Source organism: Homo sapiens, chromosome 12, assembly GCF_000001405.40.
Source record: "Homo sapiens chromosome 12, GRCh38.p14 Primary Assembly".
NCBI classification, from domain to species: Eukaryota; Metazoa; Chordata; class Mammalia; order Primates; family Hominidae; genus Homo; species Homo sapiens.
Genome location: NC_000012.12, coordinates 119935095 through 119955262, shown reverse-complemented (window position 1 = coordinate 119955262; position 20168 = coordinate 119935095). Strand labels below are relative to the sequence as shown.

The following is a 20168-nucleotide window of genomic DNA, read 5'->3' as shown; positions in this document are numbered from 1 at the left end:
GGAATCTCGGCTCACTGCAAGCTCCGCCTCCCGGGTTCACGCCATTCTTCTGCCTCAGCCTCCCGCGTAGCTGGGACTACAGGTGCCCATCACCTCGCCCAGCTAATTTTTTTTCGTATTTTTAGTAGAGATGGGGTTTCGCTATGTTAGCCAGGATGGTCTCGATCTCCTGACCTCGTGATCCACCCACCTCAGCCTCCGAAAGTTTTGGGATTACAGGTGTGAGCCACTGTGCCCAGCCTGATTAAATCTTTTTTTTGGAACAGGGTCCCCCTCCGTTACCCAGGCTGTAGTGCACCATCATGGCTTACTGCAGCCTTGACCTCCCAGGCTCAAGTGATCCTCCCACCTCAGCTTCCCAAGTAGCTGGGACTACAGGTGTGAGCCACCATGCTCAACTAATTTTTTTATTTGTTGTAGAGATGGAGTCTCCGTATGTTGCCCAGGCTGGTTTTGAACTCTTGGGCTCAAGCAATTCTGTCTTGACCTCCCAAAGTGCTGGGATTATAGGTGTGAGCCACTCCATCTGGTCCCTTGATTAATTTTATAAAGTTCACAGGGAAAGTTTTGGAAACACATCATTTTTTTTATTTTTTTATTTATTTATTTTTTTGAGACAGAGTCTACCTCTGTCTCCCAGGCTGGAGTGCAGTGGCGCAATCTTGGCTCACTGCAACCTCTGCCTCCTGGGTTCAAGCTTTTTTCCTGCCTCAGACTCCTGAGTAGCTGGGATTACAGGCACATGCCACCACACCCCGCTAATTTTTGTGTTATTAGTAGAGACAGGGTTTCACCCTGTTGGTCAGGCTAGTTTCAAACTCCTGACCTGAAGTGATCCCTCGGCCTCGGCCTCCCAAAGTCCTGGGACTATAGGCATGAGCCACCGTGCCTGGCCAACACATCACATTGATTTGTATTTCACCTCACCTCTTTCCTCTTTTCTTCCTCATTCTCACCTCTATAGGCTTTCAACTGCTAAATAAAGTGTTAGCACTTCAATCTTGTCTCAGGCTCTGTTTTCTAATCAGGCTAGCAAAGTAGGTCCGAGAAAAATAATTATTTGAGTATGATAAAGGAAAGCTCTATAGTATTAGGCCTCTAGATGCTTAGAAAGAGGGTTGTAAGATTGTAGAGCCACTAAAAAGAAAGGTCCTAAAGACATACCTCTGTGACCTAACACTTCTGTTGAAGTATGCCTCCAGAGTGGAGGTGAAAATGGGGACGTGGCTCAGTCATACGTGACAGTGACACAGAGAAAGTCAGGACAGTAGGAATTCAGAGCCTGGAGAGAGAAGTTCCATGAAGGCTTCCCTCCTATAAGCTACAGCTAGTTTTATTATTTTCTTTTTTTCCATTTATTCATCCATCCACTCATCCTTCCCTCCCTCCCTCCATCCCCTATTTGTTGGGATACCTTCTATGTGCTGGGCACCACACTAGGTTCTAAAGACACAGCATGGAAGGATAAATGATGATCCTTTTCTTCCTGGAGCTCACTGTTTAGCAGAGAAGACAGAAAGGATGCATCTAAATGAGAAGTGCAGGATGTAAGGGGAGAGTTTGTTTTAGAAGTTTTTGGTGCCAAGAAACAGATGGTCTCCTATTACTGTAAGGATATTAATGGAAATAAGGAAGGCAGGGATTTCAAAAGGCTGCCAGTCCTCATGGGAACTCAGGTAAAAGTGTGCAATTCAGCCTCCCTCAGTGTATCAAACCTGAATCCTGCTGGGTTTCTGAATGACTACATCCTGGGCAGGAACCATAAGGCCCTTCAGATCCAACACAGCAATCCCAGCTCTATTATTTCATAGATAAGCTACTGTAACAAACAGACTCCAAAATACAGGGGCTTAAACAAGTTAAAAATTTCTCTTTTTTATGTGCTAGTCCATAGATAGGGTTCAAGGAGATTAGGCTGCTTTTATGGTTTGAATATTTTTTCTCTTCAAAACTCATGTTGAAATTGAATCCCCAAAGTGGCAGTATTGAGAGTCTTTAAGAGATTCTTGGGTCAGATTAATCCTTTCATGGATTAATAAATTAATGGGTTAATGGGTTATCATGGGAGTGGAACTGATGACTTTATTTATTATTATTATTATTGAGATGGAGTCTCACTCTGTCGCTGAGGCTAGAGTGCAGTGGCACCATCTCGGTTCACTGCAACCTCCGCCTCTCGGGTTTAAGCGATTCTCCTGCCTCAGTCTCCTGCGTAGCTGGGATTACAGGCATGCGCCACCATGCCTGGCTAATTTTTTTTTGCTTGTTTGTTTTTTTGAGACGGAGTCTCGCTCTGTCACCCAGGCTGGAGTGCAATGGCGCGATCTCAGCTCACTGCAAGCTCTGCCTCCCGGGTTCATGCCATTCTCCCACCTCAGCCTCCCGAGTAGCTGGGACTACAGGCGCCTGCCACCACTCCTGGCTAATTTTTTTTGTATTTTTAGTAGAAATGGGGTTTTGCCATGTTAGCCAGGATGGTCTCGATCTCCTGACCTTGTGATCCACCCACCTCGGCCTCCCCAAAGTGCTGGGATTACAGGCGTGAGCCACCGCGCCCAGCCTAATTTTTGTATTTTTACAAAATACAAAATTTCACCATGTTGGTCAGGCTGGTCTTGAACTCCTGACCTTGTGATCTGCCCACCTTGGCCTCCCAAAGTGCTGGGATTACAGGCGTGAGCCACCACACCCGGCCTATTTATTTTATTATTATTATTTTTTTTTGAGGCAGAGTTTCACTCTGGATTCATCCAGGCTGGAGTGCAGTGGGATGATCTGTGTTCACCGCAACCTCTGCCTCCCAGGTTCAAGAGATTCTCCTACCTCAGCCTTCCGAGTAGCCGGGATTACAGGCACCTGCCACCATGCCTGGCTAATTATTTTTTTTGAGATGGAGTCTCGCTCTGTCGCCTAGGCTGAAGTGCAGTGGTGTGATCTTGGCTTATGCAACCTCTGCCTCCCAGGTTCAAGTGACTCTCCTGCCTCAGCCTCCTCAGTAGCTGGGATAACAGGTGCGTGCCACCATGCCTGGCTAATTTTGTATTTTTAGTAGACACGGGGTTTCACTATGTTGGCCAGGCTGGTCTCGAACCCCTGACATCAGATGATCTGCCCGTCTCGGCCTCCCAAAATGCTAGGATTACAGGTATGAGCCACTGCGCCTGGCATGGTTTCTTCCTTTTCTAGGATGGTTTAGTTATCCACCTCTTCCTTTGCTTCCATAAAATGCCTCCAACATCCTTTCATTAACTTCCTCCTTCCCTTCCCTCCCTTCTTCCTTCCCCTTCCTATTCCTCTCTCCTCCCCTCCTCTTCCCTCCCCTCCCCTTCCCTCCCTTCTTCCTTCCCCTTCCTATTCCTCTCTCCTCCCCTCCTCTTCCCTCCCCTCCCCTTCCCTCCCTTCTTCCTTCCCCTTCCTATTCCTCTCTCCTCCCCTCCCCTTCCCTCCCCTCCCCTTCCCTTCCTTTCTCCTCCCTTTCTTCCTTCCCCTTCCTATTCCTCTCTCCTCCCCTCCCCTTCCCTCCCCTCCCCTTCCCTCCCTTCTTCCTTCCCCTTCCTATTCCTCTCTCCTCCCCTCCCCTTCCCTCCCCTCCCCTTCCCTTCCTTTCTCCTCCCTTTCTTTCCTTATGCTAGCCATAGGACATTCCCATTACTTGCAATCAAAAACTTGCAAACAAAACATTGCACACAGCCAAGTTTAACCTTGAAAGAGGCATAAATGACAGCAACTCTTTTGGGAATATGTGTTATTTCTTCTGAGGCATCTATAAAAGCCATCACTTTCATCAGCAACAGGATTGAATGTGCTACCATGGTTTGTATTTTATTGTTGTTCTTGTTTTTAAAGAAACTATCCAAGGCCTATGTTATGAATAAGCAAGAGAGGTATAGATTTATGCTGATAGCTCTCGCCTCAATATTAGAAAGGCAGATTTTTTTTTTTTTTGAGACACTGTCTCACTCTATCACTCAGGCTGGAGTGCAGTGGCGCTTTCTTGACTCACTGCAACCTCGGCCTCCTGGGTTCGAGTGATTACAGGTATGTGCCACCACATCCGCCTAATTTTTATATTTTTTAGTAAAGATGGGGTTTTGCCATGTTGCCCAGGCTGATCTTGAACTCTGAGCTCATGCAATCCACCCGCCTTGTCCTCCCAAAATGCTAGGATTACAGGTGTGAGCCACTGCTCCTGACCAGAAAGGCATAATTTGAATACATTTGTACTATTGGGCTGGCCAAGAAAAAAGTGGCCAATGGAAATTTTATTTTACTCTTCTCTCCAATCTGATAAAGGAGACAGCCCGGCACAGTGGCTCATGCCTGTAGTCCCAGCACTTTGGGAAGCCAAGGTGGGCGGATCTCTTGAGGTCAGGAGTTTGAGACCAGCCTGGCCAACATGGGGAAACCGTCTCTACTAAAAATACAAAAATTAGCCAGGTGTGGTGGCGTGTGCCTGTAATCCCAGCTACTCGGGAGGCTGAGGCAGGAGAATCACTTGAACCCTGGAGGTGGAGGTTGCAGTGAGCTGAGATTGCACCACTGCACTCCAGCCTGGGCGACAGAGTGAGACTCCATCTCAAAAATAAAAATAAAAATGATAAAGTAGAGCGAGAGCGGAAAAAATGTAAAGGGCAAGCAAGAAAGACAAACGAGGAGAAATAGTCAGGCAATTTACAAACTGGATAATTCTTTTTTTTTCCTTTTTTTTTTTTTTGAGATGGAGTTTCGCTTTTGTTGCCCAGGCTGGAGTGCAATGGCGTGATCTCAGCTCATCGCCACCTCTGACTCCTGGGTTCAAGCAATTCACCTGCCTCAGCCTCCCGAGTAGCTGGGATTACAGGTGCCCGCCACCATGCCCAGCTAATTTTTGTAGTTTTAGTAAAGACAGGGTTTCTCCATGTTGGTCAGGCTGGTCTCAGGTAATCCACCCACCTCCTTGGCCTCCCAAAATGCTGAGATTACAGGCATGAGCCACCGCGCCCAGCCAAAAATTGGATAATTATATTGAGATGTAGAAGCATCAAAAATGCGAAAATACTAAAGAGTTATTTCCAGGTAAAAGGTCCTGACATTCAGGGAGCAGCCATCATTAAATGATATCCAAGTTAGCAGACAGGTTTGAAAGATCAGCTAATAGGAGAGCTTCTGATAAGACTTAGAGAAACACTTCTTGACACCTGAGAGGTACGATTCAGTGCAATGAGAAAACAAGGGCTGGTGTGGATCTTTATCTCTTGGGAGTTGAGAGAAAAGGGCAAATTGCTCTTATTCATCCAGGATGGACCAGGTGAGCTCATCAGATACTTCAGAGTCTAATGAATTATCCTTGGGGTTCTTAAGATTTGACATCCCTAATCATTTTAACTGCTCTTTTTATATGTCTTACTACCAGCATGGTCCCTCTGTATGAGCTCATTCCTCTTCTCTTATTCTGCAACTCTCTAGAGGCGAGGGCTGCAGGGAAACATGATATGTCGCTTCTTGAGACACAGACCACTGGCTTCTTTTTTTTTTTTTTTGTAGAGACAAGGTCTCACCATGTTTCCCAGGCTGGTCTCAACCTCCTGGGCTCAAGTGATTCTCCCACCTCAGCCTCCTGAGTAGCTGGGACTACAGGCGTGTACCACCACGCCTGGCTAATTTTTTTGGTGAGATGGAGTCTCCCTATGTTGCCCAGCCTGGTCTTGAACCCCTGGGCTCCAGTGATCCTTCCACCTTGGCCTCCCAAAGTGCCGGGATTATAGGCGTGAGCCACTGTACCCGGTCCAGACCAGTAGCTTCTTGATGCTTCATTCCCTTCAGAAAAAACGATTACAGAATCACAACCTGCTCCGAAGTGTGACAAACCCAACAATCTGTCACCCCAAACGTGCTAATCATGTGGAACAGTAGCAATCAGATTCATGGCTAGCTCCTGTGAAATAGAAACGTGACACTTCAGCGGCTGCCAGGTGGTGCTTAAATAAACTGGGACACTTCACCTTGAAAGCTTTTGGCAAGTGCTGGGAAGTCAAAACAGAAATAAATGATTTAAAAAGCTATACGAGTTGCATAGGAATAGTCAAGTCACATGTCCTGTAATGCCATAGCCTAGTGCTATTGAGCACGTGGATTGTGGCTACACTGTGACTGAGAAACTGAGGTTGGAATTTTATTCAAATTTTATTAATTTTAATTTTATATATATATATATATTTTGAGAAGGAGTCTCACTTTGTTGCCCCCAGGCTGGAGTGCAGTGGCGTGATCTCTGTTCACTGCAACATCCACCTCCTGGGTTCAAGCAATTCTCCCACCTCAGCCTCCTGAGTAGCTGGGATTACAGGCACCCGCCACCATGCCTGTCTAATTTTTGTATGTTTAGTAGAGACGGGGTTTCAACATGTTGGCCAGGCTGGCCTCGAACTCCTGGCCTCAGGTGACCTGCCCACCTCAGCCTCCCAAAGTGCTGGGATTATAGGCGTGAACCACCAAGCCACCACATCCGGCCTATTTTTCATATTTTTTTAGAGACGGGGTCTCGCTCTGTCTCCCAGGCTGGACTGCAGTGGCGGATCAAGGCTTACTACAGCCTTGACGTCCCAGGCTCAAGTGATCCTCTGGCCTCAGCCTCCTGAGTAGCTGGGACTACAGGCATGCGCCATCATGGCCAGGCTAATTTTGGAATTTTTTTTTGTAGAGAGAGGGTCTTACTAAGTTTCTCAGGCTGGTCTTGAACTCCTGGGCTCCAGAGATCTTCCCACCTCAGGCTCCCAAAGTGCGGGATTATAGGCCTAAGGCACATGCCTGGCCCAAAACAAACCATTTTTTATTATTTTATTTATTTTGTTTTATTTTATTTTATTTTATTTTATTATTTTATTAACTTTCTGAGACAGTCTCACTCTGTCACCCAGGCTGGAGTGCAGTAGTGCAATCATGGCTCACTGCAACCTCTGTCTCCCAGGTTCAAGCAATGCTCGTGCCTCAGCCTCCCAAATAGCTGGGATTACAGGCACGTGCCACCATACCCAGCTAATTTTTGTATTTTTAGTAGAGAAGGGGTTTTGCCATGTTGGCCAGGCTGGTCTCAAACTCCTGACCTCAAGTGATCTGCCGTTCTTGGCCTCCCATAATGTTGGGATTACAGGCGTGAGCCAATACACCTGGCCACAAAATGAGCCATTTTAAAATGAACAACTTTATGACATTTAGTACGTTCACAATGTCATGCAACCACCACCTTTGTCTAGTTCCAAAACATTTTTATCACCCCTGAAGAAAACCCCATACTCACTAAACAGTTGCTCCCCATTCTCCTCTCCTCCCAGCCCCTGGCAACCACCAATCTATATTTTGTCTCTATGGATTTACCTATTCTGGATATTTCACATAAATGAAATCACACAATATGTGGCATTTTGTATCTGGCATCCTAGGCTTAGCATATTGTAAATGATTTCCATTTTAAATTACAAAACCTAGGCTGGGTGTGGTGGCTCACGCCTGAGGTCAGGAGTTCGAGACCAGCCTGCCAACATGATGAAACCCCGTCTCTACTAAAAATACAAAAATTAGCTGGGTGTAGTGGCATGTGCCTATAGTCCCAGCTACTCGGGAGGCTGAGACAAGAGAATGGCTTGAACCCAGAAGGCAGAGGTTGCAGTGAGCTGAGATCATGCCATTGCACTCCAGCCTGGGCAACAGAGCGAGAGTCTGTCTTAAACAAACAAACAACAAACAAACCAAAAAAACCACCAAGACTTATCTGGCTAAGTTTGAATGAGTGATTTTTGAGGACAGTGGGGTAGCTATCACTCAGATTAATTATCAGGACCATTCCTTATTGCCTAACCCATGCTTGAGTTTTATGTGATTATGGCTGTAAGTAAAAATTAAAGGAACATTAGGGGTTATTTAATGAAAACAGGATTGCTTAATGAAAACTACATTTTGGCCCCCAAGCAATGTTGTTCTGGCATCTTGTCCACATGGCAGAACACAGTGTGGGTACCCTCTACTGAACATCACCATTGAACGTCATATAGCTTTGGCATCTTGGGCCAGTTAGTACCCAATAAAAGCCAACAGTGCCTGATAGCAAAGATGGTACCCAATGGTACGAGGTGCAGATGTTCTTTGGATAAAGTGGAAATCAACTGAGATAGTCAAAACCAGCAGAAATAGGCCGGGCATGGTGGCTCACACCTGTAATCCCAGCACTATGGGAGGCTGAGGTGGGCAGATCACTTGAGATCAGGAGCTCGAGGCCACCCTAGTGAAACACCATCTCTACTAAAAATACAAAAATTAGCAGTGCATGGTGGCAGATGCCGGTAATCCCAGCTACTCTGGAAGCTGAGGCAGGAGAATCACTTGAACCTGGGAAGTGGAGGTTGCAGTGAGACGAGATTGCACCACAGCACTCCAGCCTGGGTGACAGAGTGAGACTCTGTCTCAAGAAAATAAAAAACAAACAAAACAAAACAAAACAACCAAACCAAAAAACACCCAGCAAAAATAGCAGCATGCCTGGTTAATATCAGTGCATCCAGAACAGGAGGAAAGGAGGAAAAACCCACAAACCTGAGACCGACAAGACTCGTTTCTGTGTGTGATCCTCTCCTGGGCATTCCTGGAAATTCTGACAGGGAACAAACTTTGCAGGAGCCTGGAGTTCTACATTAAATAGCAGATGAAGGCATAGTGCATTGTCTTGGGTTGGGCTCCCCAAGAATCCTTGCTGAGACAATAATTCAATTACAGGCTGTTTATTTGGGAGGTGATCCCAGGAAACAACAGTGTGGGGACAGAAAAATGGAGACAGAGAAAGGAAGTCAGCCAATAAAAGGTCTGTTACCAAGCGGGTTACCACTGTGGGCAGCAGGAGCTCGGTCTCACTGGGGAGCCCTGGAAGACTGTATAGAACATGCCTCAGGGTTATCTCAATGGAGGATAAATATGGAACTGGTTTTTTTTTTTTTTTTTTAGTTTTTTGAGACAGAGTCTGGCTCTGTCGCCCAGGCCGGAGTGCAATGGCACGATCTCAGCTCACTGCAACCTCCGCCTCCTGGGTTCAAGCAATTCTCCCGCCTCAGCCTCCTGAGTAGCTGGGATTAAAGGCGTGCACCACCATGCCCGGCTAATTTTTGTAATTTTAGTAGAGACGGGGTTTCACCATGTTGGTCAGGCTGGTCTCAAACTCCTGATCTCAAGTGATCCACCCACCTTGGCCTCCCAAAGTGCTGGGATTACAGGTATGAGCCACTGCGCCTGGCCAGGAGCTGGGGTATTTATCTAACAACTCCCATCCCTCACTGGGTGAGGGCTATTTCTAGGGACTTGAACTTTCTGGGACTTCTAGGCTATCCTGCTTGCAGACCAGGTGTGCGTCCACAACCAGAACAAAGCCTTCATTCAGAGAGTCACGAGGAACATTCTTTGGCATTTAGAAATGAGTGTTGAGGGTCTCTGGGCAGGGCCCCAATAACATCCACCACACCTGTGATTGCACCAGGCTATGAGCACAGAGGAACTGATCATATTTATCCCTGTGTTAGTCTCATCTCTGGCCCCATTTCAATCCTCACTCTTGTTTTGTTTTTCTTCTTCCTTCTCTTATGTATAATTTATGCTGTCTAGCTATGTTTTATGTATCCTTGTAAGCTGCCTTAAATCTTTTCTGGAACACAACAGGGTATAAGTAAATAAATACTAGTGAGGAGTAACATTTTACCTTTATTTTTGACCATTTCTCCCATTCTGTGTCTTCTTGGAACAGACCCTTATTCATCTGTGCCTAGCATTGTGTTGAGCACATCGAAAGCATTTGACTATTGTTCTGTAAAATAATAGGCAGCACAAAGATACACATAATGGTTTATAAACTGACTCTGTGACCAGACACAGATGCAGAGGCACAGTCCTCTCTGGCCTCTGACTTCTTAAACCCGGTGCCTAGAACAGTGTTTACCACATAGTATAGGTGTCCAGAAAATTTGTGTTGAATGAATTAATGAGACTTATAGGACCTACATTGTATTAGCCCATTTTCATACTGCTGTGAAGAAATGCCCATGACTGGGTAATTTGTAAAGAAAAAGAGGTTTAATGGACTCACAGTTCCACATGGCTGGGGAGGCCTCACAATCATGGCAGAAAGCGAAGGAGGAGCAAAGGCATGTCTTATATGATGGTCGGCAAGAGAGTGTGTGCAGGGCAACTGCCCTTTATAAACCCATCAGATTGGCTGGGTGCAGTGGCTCACACCTGTAATCCTAGCACTTTGGGAGGCCAAGGTGGGCAGATTGCCTGAGCTCAGGAGTTCGAGACCAGCCTGGGCAACATGGCAAAACCCCATCTCTACTAAAAATACAAAAAATTTGCGGGGTATGGTGGCACATGCCTGTCATCCCAGCTACTCGGGAGGTTGAGGCACGAGAATCGCTTGAGCCTGGGAGGTGGAGGTTGCAGCGAGCTAAGATTGCGCTACTGCACTCCAGCCTGGGCGACAGAGTGAGACCCTGTATCAATCAGTCAATCAATACATAAATAAAAATAATAAAACTATCAGATCTCATGAGACTTATTCACTATCATGAGAACAGCATGGGAAAAACCCGGCCCCATTATTCAATTACTTCTCACTGGGTCCCTCCCACGTCACATGGGGACTATGGGAGCTACAATTCAAGATGATATGTGGGTGGGGACAGAGCCAGACCATATCATACATACAGTAAGGCCTCCCTTAGACCACCAATTAGAAATCCATCAACATACTGGAATTGTTTTGCGTTTTTGTTTGTTTGATACGGGGTTTCACTCTATCACCCAAGCTGAAGGGTAGTGGCATGATCACAGCTCACTGCAGCCTTAACCTCCTGGGCTCAAATGATCCTCCCACCTCAGCCTCCTGTGTAGCTGGGACAACAGGCATGTGCCACCACACCGATTTTTTTTGTGTGTGTGTCAAGACAAGGTCTCTCTGTGTTGCCCAGGCTGGTCTCAAACTCCTTAGCTCAGATGATTCACCTGCCTTGGCCTCCCAAAGTGCTGGGACTATAAGCATGAGCCACTGTGCCTGGCCGGAATTGCATTTTTTGCAAGGTCAAGGTTGCCCTTGAAATTACTATCATGTGGATGTACTTAATTTCATGAGCACAAGCTGAGGGGTAGGGACTAAAGATAGAGCTAGAGATGGTGCTTTAAAATGTATACCCAGCAGGCTATGAGCATCTAAGAACACCCAATGGCAATTCAGAGGCAGTCTGTTTATGAGCCTAATCTTTGCTTATAGATGTCCTGGCAAATTGTTCTTAATAACACCCCTATTGAGCAAAGAATTACCAGCAATGCTGGAAAGTGAGCTCCCCAGGAATCTCATATGCTAGAAATTGAGGGATTGCTTTACATCCCATGAATCTCTGAGGAACATGTTCTATTTAACTCCCTGTTTCCCCATAGGCATGGTTTGGGGCTAGGTTCTCTAGAAGCAGATGCTTACATGGAGTTTGGGGTACAAAATCCTCATTAGGAATCAATCAGCCAGGTGCAGTGGCTCACACCTGTAATCCCAGGACTTGGGGAGCCCGAATGGGGCGGACCTTTTTTTTTTTTGAGATGAAGTTTCGCTCTTGTTGCCCAGGCTGGAGTGCAGTGGCGCAATCTCTGCTCACCGCACCCTCCACCTCCCCGGTTCAAGTGATTATCCTGCCTCAGCCTCCCGAGTAGCTGGGATTACAGGTATGCACCACCCTGCCCGGCTAATTTTGTATTTTTAATAGAGACGGGGTTTCTCCATGTTGGGGGGTGGATCTCTTGAGTCCAGGAGTTCAAGAGCAGTCTGGGCAACATGGTGAGACCCTGTCTCTGCAAAAAATACAAAAATTAGCCAGGCATGCTGGTGTGCACCTGTAGTCCCAGCTACTTGGGAGGCAGAAGTGGGAGGATCACCTGAGCCTGGCAGATCAAGGCTGCAGTGAGTTGAGATCCCACCACTGCACTCCCGATCTCAAAAATAAATAAGTAAATAAAGGAATCAGTCCCTATGAAAAAAATGAGAAGAAGCAGGATTGGGCAGAGAGAAATATCCAGCCACAGTGCAGGCTTGACAAAGCTTTGGCTAACCCAGAGGGGAGCTCCAGAGCAACACTTTGACACTGCCTGTCAAAATGTTCCAAGTCAGGTGGAATGGGCGACCTTTATAAATGACTTTCCTGGCTGGGTGTGGTGGCTCACACCTGTAATCCCAGCACTTTGGAAGGCCAAGGTGGTTGGATCACTTGAGGTGAGGAGTTCGAGACCAGCCTGGCCAACATGGGCGAAACCCTGTCTCTACTAAAAATACAAAATTAGCCGCACGTGGTGGTGAGTGCCTGTAATCCCAGCTACTCGGAGGCTGAGATAGGAGAATTGCTTGTATCTGGCATGCGGAGGTTGCAGTGAGCCGAGATCGCACCACTGCACTCTAGCCTGGGTGACAGAGCGAGACTCCATCTCAAAAAACGAAACAAAACAAAACAAAACAGAACAGAACAAAACAAAACAGACTTTCCTTGCCCAGTCAACAGATGCAGGCTACCTCGGGAAGGGCATGGCCTTGGGCTGGGCAGGGCTGTACAGCTGAGGCTGACCTTGAAGGAGGTGACAGCTGCAGTCTGTCTACTGACTGCACTCCCTGCAGTCCCTGGACAGCAAGTCCTCCCTTGAGGGGGCATGTGGGTGGCCCAGCTCTGTGGCCAGCACAGGGATCACGTGGCAGTTGCCCACAGTAACAGCTAGCTTGATAACACACTTTTTTGAGACAGAGTTTCGCTCTTGTTGCCCAGGTTGGAGTGCAATGGTGCGATCTCAGCTCACCGCAACCTCTGCCTCCCGGGTTCAAGTGATTCTCCTGCCTTAGCCTCCTGAGTAGCTGGGATTACAGGCATGTGCCACCACACCCGGCTAATTTTTTTTATTTTTAGTAGAGACAGTGTTTCTCTATGTTGGTCAGGCTGGTCTTGAACTCCTGACCTCAGGTGATCTGCCCGACTCGGCCTACCAAAGTGCTGGGACTACAGGCATGAGCCACACTCTTATTGGCTGCCTTTCTTTCCTTATCTTATTTTCCTACTCCCCTACAAGGTGCTTCCTTCACTTCCCAAATAAACTAACCCAAATCCTTGTCTCAGGATCTGCTTCTGGGGGAGCTAAAACCAAGACATATCCAACTTGCCTTCAGAATCATGTTCCTAGGGGCAGGGCTGTTGGTTTCTGGTTTTGTAAATTTACTTTTCCTGAGTTGCATAGACTTAGGGTAACTTAAGTCCTGTTTTTTCTCAACACAATTCCTGTTTAATATGTGGCCTTGGTGTTCCATTCCCTAGATGTTCCCTTTTGTCTTAAGAGTATCCTGGTTTGGCTGGGCACGGTGGCTCATGCCTGTCATCCTATCACTTTGGGACGCTGAGGTGGGCGGATTGCTTGAGCTCAGGAGTTCAAGACTAGCACGGGCAACATGGTAAAACCCTATCCCTACAAAAAATACAAAAAAATTAGCCAGGCATGGTGGTGCACGCCTATGGTCCCAGCTACTTGGGAGGCTGAGGCAGGAGGATTGCTTGAGCCCAGGGGATCGAGGCTGCAGTAAGCCAAGATCATACCACTGCACTCCAGCCTGGGCAACATAGCAAGATGCTGTCTCAAAAAAAAAAAAAAAAAAGTATCCTGGTCTGGATGACACATTTTTTTCCCCCTTTCTTTCCACAGGTGTCGATGGATGACACTGTTTTTTTTTTTTTAGACAGAGTTTTTGCTCTTGTTGCCCAGCCTGGAGTGCAGTGGGGCAATCTCGGCTGACGGCAACCTCTGCCTCCTGGGTTCAAGCAATTCTCCTGCCTCAGCCTCCCAAGTAGTTGGGATTACAGGGACCTGCCACCACTCCTGGCTAATTTTTCTATTTTTAGTAGAGACGGGGTTTCACCATGTTGGCCAGGCTGGTCTTGAACTCCTGACCTCAGGTGATCCATCTGCCTCAGCCTCCCAAAGTGGTGGGATTACAGGCGTGAGCCACTGAGTCCGGCCCCGATGACACATTTTATAATCATCCTACAACTGTTTGAAGTGAGTGATCCTTGGTCAGATACATGGACAAGGAAAAGTGGTTAGTTTTGATTTGAATGCCATCAACTCATTGTTTACTTTGGGTGAATCATCCCATTGTAGAGCTGGAAGCAGCTTTTGGAACTGGCTATTCCATGGACTCTCCACCTTGTTTTCTGTTACGCTGCACATGGTCAGGCATTCATATGCATAACACTCCCAGGGGAAGTCTTAATATGCCAGCTGTAACTCTGCTCCTTTTTCTCCCGGTAGGGAAAGCATATTAAATGCTGGCAAGAATTAGGTTGGTATAGGGATAATGTATTATTTAAAAATATATGAATCATCCTCCAGCTAATGGTACTTTAACCATTACCATCAGATCACTCATGGCACAGGTCATGACCGATCGAATTTGAGAACAGCTGATCTCTTCTCAAATCCTTGAATTACATGAAAAAAATCGTCTAGCCTCATGGTGTCTTCATTTTCTCACCTGGAAATGGGGATGGTAAAATCTCCTTCTCTGTCTGGTTGGGATGTGGCAGAAGGCAAATGAGATAATGATTGTGAAAGCCTGGGGAAGTATAAAACCTTAAAGGAATGGAGGCGGTGTGGTGGCCACGAGGCAGCTGCATCTACTGAGTTTGCAAGCGTCACACCAGGATTTACACAGTAGGCTCGCAGGGGAATTGGATCCATCTAGTTTGCACAGGGATTCTCTCCTCAAGACATTTACAAGTCAAAATTTTACCAGTGCTCCTGGTCATTACATAAATTCTCTACATCTTTGTCAAGATGTGTTAGTCAGCGGCCGAGCGCAGTGGCTCACGGCTGTAATCCCAGCACTTTGGGAGACAGAGGCAGGTGGATCACAAGGTGAAGAGATCGAGACCATCCTGGCCAACATGGTGAAACCCCGTCTCTACTAAAAATACAAAAATTAGCTGGGCGTGGTGGCGCGTGCCTGTAGTCCCAGCTACTCTGGAGGTTGAGGCAGGAGAATTGCTTGAACCCGGGAGGCAGAGATTGCAGTGAGCCAAGATCGCACCACTGTACTCCAGCCTAGCGGCAGAGCAAGACGCCGTCTCAAAAAAAAAAAAAAAAAAAAAAAGATGTGTTAGTCAGAACCCTACAGTTGCAAGATACAGAAATCCAATATACATTAGCTTGAATAAAAAGTGAGAATTGGGGCCAGGTGCAGTGGCTCATGCCTGTGATCCCAGCACTTTGGGAGGCCGAGGGGGAGGATTGCTGGAGGAGTTTGAGACCAACCTGGGCAACGTAGCAAGACCCCACCTCTACAAAATTTTTTTTTAATTAGCTAGGCATGGTGGCATGCACCTGCAATCCTAGCCACTAAGGAAGATAAGGTGGGAGGATCACTTGAGCCCATGAGTTTGGGGCTGCAGTGAGCCATGATCGTGCCACTTCACTCCATCCTGGGTGACAGAGTGAGACCCTGTCTATTAACAAAAAGAGGAGGGGGGGTATTTATTGGCTCACAAGAGGAAACTATGGGAATGTCCCGGTTGGAGCTAGCCACAGATGGCCAAACTCCAGACTTGAACATCACAAGGATTTTCTGTGCCACTTACCCATCCTGCTGTCTGTATACTGGTTTCATTTTCCTTAGAACAACTTCTTTCTTAGGTGGGGGCATGGCTCTTTGATGCTGGGCTTCCATACTTACAGCCTTGTGACCAGGGAGAAAAGATACCCTTTTCTCTGACCCTGGCCCCTCAGTCAGTTAACCTGACCCCTCAGGTTAAACTAGAAGAACTCTAGAGAAGCACTCTGATAGGCTCATCTTTGAACCAATCACTGCAGTCTAAGCCAGGTGAGACTGATGCCCACACCTCAAATGAATTATCCAGTTTCTCATGTACGAAGCTACTTCGAGGACTGTTGGCAGCTGGCAGCCATCACATCTGTGTCTATCACTTGGGGAAACTACAGTCTTATATATCATCAAACCTTTATTCCTAATGAATCTATTACACTTCTAGGACTATAAATAATAAATTCTCTCCCATTCCTCCAATGCAAATATTTTGAATATTTTAATGATTGCTTTCCAAAGCCTACTTTCAAAATCACCCGTCCAAGATTTGTGCCAATATATACTCCCACAAACAGATGGTGGTGGGCATCCTTGAATTATAAGCTGTCATTGATCTATACTGGTGGTTCTCAACTGAGGATTTTGCCTCCCCAGGGGACAATGGCAATGACTGCAGACTTTTTTTTTTTTTTGGCAGAATCTCTCTCCGTCGCCCAGGCTGGAGTGCAATGGTGCAATCTCGGCTCACTGCAACCTCCAACTCCTGGGTTCAAGCAATTCTTATGCCTCAGTCTCCTAAGTAGCTGGGATTATAGGTGTGCACCACCATGCCCAGCTCTTTTTTTTTTTTTTTTTTCAGACAGAGTCTCACTCTGTCACCCAGGCTGGAGTGCAGTGGTGCGACCTCACCTCACTGCAACCTCTGCCTCTCGGGTTCCAGTGATTCTTCTGCCTCAGCCTCCTGAGTAACTGGGATTGCATGCATGCACCATCATGCCCATCTAACTTTTGTATTTTTAGTAGAAATGGGGTTTTGCCATGTTAGCCAGGCTTGTCTTGAACTCCTGGCCTCAAGTGATCCGCCCGCATCAGCCTCCCAAAGTGTTGGGATTACAGGTGTAATCCCAGTTACTTGGGAGGCTGCGACAGGGGAATCGCTTGAATCCAGGAGGTGAAGGTTGCAGTGAGCCAGGATCGGGCTACTGCATTCCAGCCTGGGTGACAGAGCGAGACTCCATCTCAAAAAAAGAAAATGCCTCATTATTGGTAAAGGAATATAAAAATGTAAGAAAGTATTTATAAGTTGCCTGGTACAGAACTTTGAACCCAGTAGGTGCCACATAATTGTTGGATAGAAGTTTTTCCTGTGAGAACTGCTCCAGTAACAGCCACCAGATGGCAGCAAAGAGCAAGTTTCCCCTCAGAAGTTCCCTCTGGTTAGGCTATGGGGTTTGAAAGGGGGAAGAAAATGGTTGATTTCTTTTCTTTGCATTTTTGTTGTTGTTGTTGTTGTTTGTTTGTTTGTTTTTGAGATACAGTCTCGCTCTGTGGCCCAGGCCGGAGTACAGTGGCACGATCTGGGCTCACTGCAACCTCCGCCTCCTGGGCTCAAGCAATTCTCCTGCCTCAGCCTCCCGAGTAGCTGGGATTACAGGTGTGTGCCACCACGCCCGGCTATTTTGTATTTGTAGTAGGGATGGGTTTTCACCATGTTGGCCAGGCTGGCCTCGAACTCCTGACCTCGAGAGATCCACCCGCCTTGGCCTCCCAAAGTACTGGGATTACAGGCGTAAGCCACTGCACCCGGCCATAAATTTTTTGTAGAGAGGTGGTCTCCCTATGTTGCTCAGGCTGGTCACAAACTCCTGGGCTCAAGTGATTTTCTTGCCTCGGCCTCCCAAAGGGCTGGAATTACAGGCATGAGCCACCATGCCTGGCCCCTCCCTGATTGCTATCAAATTGATTCCCCATCGCTCACTCCTCCCCTCCTCCTCAACACTTTCCTACCTCAAACCCACTCATGTGTGTTTTTTTTTCTTTCTCCCAATTTCTACCATGGGAATGATTTCTTTAAAATGCACTGAGGGGCAAATTGAAAGTGACAACAATCTTTGTGTTCGGAGCCTGAAGTTAATGTGTTCTGGCAATGGGGATTAAACCTGAGAAATTCACAAAACATGTTTCAAGCAAAATGAGTGAAAATGGATGAGGTGATGGGAAAGAATGAAAATATTTAAACAGATTACTTACACCTTAAGTGCCTGTCCCAAGTGGGCCTTCCATCCACCCATCGTCTATTCTGCAAATATTTATTCCTGACTTGGGAATACAGACACAGTCTTAATCCTCATGGAAAAAGGGAAGACAAATATTAGAGAAGTAATTAATTACACATGTGATGTAGGCTAGGATGGGGAGGGGACCAGGACCATGGTGATGTGTAATGGGGTGACCTAATTTTTGGAAAGAGTCAAGACAGGCCTCTCTGGGAAAGTGATGTTTAAGGTGAGACTCAAGTATGAGTAAGAGTTGGCAAAGAAGGAAGGGGAGGGAGTGGGCTAAGCCCTCTAGGCTGAGGGAACAGGGTACTTGAAGGTCCAATGGTTTCCATGTAATTTTAGAGCACTCTGGTTGAGAAAATACATGACTAAAAGCTACCATGATTTAAGGACTCTTCAGATTCCTGTTTTATTTATTATAACATCATCCACACACTTTGAAAAATTCTTGGCTGGGTGCAGTGGCTCATGCATGCAATCATACTTTGGGAGGCCAAGGCTAGAGGACTGCTTGAGCCTAGGAGTTGGAGACCAGCCTGGGCAACATAGCAAGACCTTGTCTCTACTAAAAATAAAAAATTAGCCAGGTGTGATGACATGGTCTTGTAGTCCCAACTACTCGGGAGGCTGAGGTGGGAAGATCATTCATGCCCAGGAGTTTGAGTTTGCAGTGAGCTGTGATCATGCTGCTGTACTCCATGCTGGGCAACAGAGTGAGATCCTTTCTCAAAAAAAAAAAAAAAAAAAAAAGAAAGAAAGAAAAAGAAAAAAGTCTTATGTGGGTGTGCAGGAGGCAACATTTATTCAGTCTATAAATAAATGTGGTGATGGGTTGCATTAATTTCATAGAGTCCTTATGAATCTACAACCCCAGTCCATGGAATACACAGGACACAATCCCTGTCCTTAAGGGGCTGATAGTTTAGTCGGGACAATGGTTGCCCCTCCGTGCACTCCCTTTGTCTTAACACTTCAGGGCATCTCTTATGAAACATTTGCATGTTTGGTCACGTTTTTCTTGGATCTGTCCCTATTCCTCTGATCACTCTCTGTCACCTCATCTCCAACACTCATTAAACTAGAAGTTCCTAATTCAGATCCATGAACCCCCAAAAGGGGACAGTGGGTAGAACTCAGACATCCAGAGCCGGACGCGGTGGCTCACCCCTGTAATCCCAACACTTTTGGAGGCCGAGGCGGGCGGATCACGAGGTCAGGAGATCGAGACCATCTGGAGTTTGCAGTGAGCCAAGATTGCGCCACTGCACTCCAGCCTGGGTGACAGAGCAAGACTCCATCTCAAAAAAATAAAAAAAATAAAAAAAATTCAGACATCCAAAAACGTGGGAAAATCACTTCTCTATTTTCACAATTCTAACTGAAAGACAGCATTTCTCCTTCCATTGTGAATGCAGACAACAAACCACGCCTGTGATTTTTTTTTTTTTTTTTTTTTTGACACAGGGTCTTTCTCTGTTGCCCAGGCTGAAGCGCAGTGGTGTGATCACAGGTCACTGCAGCCTCCACCTCCCGGGCTCAAGTGATCCTCCCACCTCAGCCTCCCAAGTAGCTCAGATCACAAGCACACACTACCACACCCAACTAATGTTTTAACTTTTTGTAGAGTCAGGGGTCTCACCATGTTGCCAGGGCTGGTCTGGAACTCCTGGCAGTGCCTGTGATTTTGTCACCCGTAGAAGTCACAGATATTTGTACACTACATGTACAGCTGCTGCTGATGTCTCAAAATTAATGCTCATAGCTACTTTAAAATCATGGCAGTTTTTAGACTTGCTGCTAGATCTTATTATTTAGTTTGTTAATAGAGACACATATTGCTATAAAATGTGTTTATAGCAATTGTTTATAGCAATATAAAAACCATGTTGCTATATCCCAAGTTGGTTTTGTAAAGTATTTTGATAACTTGTATTTCAATATAATTGGTTCCTTTGTAACCCTGTGTGTTTTCTTTTTGGCATTTAAAGCTGTTATTCTGACCAGGAGTGGGTGCGGTGGCACACGCCTGTAATCCTAGCACTTTGGGAGGGCGAGGTGGGCTGATCATCTGAGATCAAGAGTTTAAGAACAGCCTGGCCAACAGGGTGAAACCCCATCTCTAAAAAAAATACAAAAAATTAGCTGGGCGTCATGGCGTGTACCTGTAATCCCAGCTACTCGGAGGCTGAGGCAGCAGGCTCGATTGAACCCGGAGGTGGAGTGTATTAGTCTGTTTTCATGCTGCTGATAAAGACATACCC

General features: G+C 46.5%; 1 long non-coding RNA gene across 2 annotated transcripts in view; it reads right to left on the bottom strand.

The window, feature by feature from the left end:
- Positions 1-15872, bottom strand: part of LOC112268087 (uncharacterized) — a 35807-nt gene extending 19935 nt beyond the window's left edge. Inside the window, exons 1-3 of one of the 2 annotated variants that reach the window (XR_002957391.2) lie at positions 15663-15872; positions 9716-9820; positions 1415-1496 (exon numbers count right to left, since the gene is read on the bottom strand). This is a non-coding gene — a long non-coding RNA (uncharacterized LOC112268087). The remainder of the gene's footprint in view (positions 1-1414; positions 1497-9715; positions 9821-15662) is intronic. The other variant, XR_002957390.2, reaches the window with a different exon arrangement.
- Between the last annotated feature and the right edge of the window lie 4296 nt (positions 15873-20168).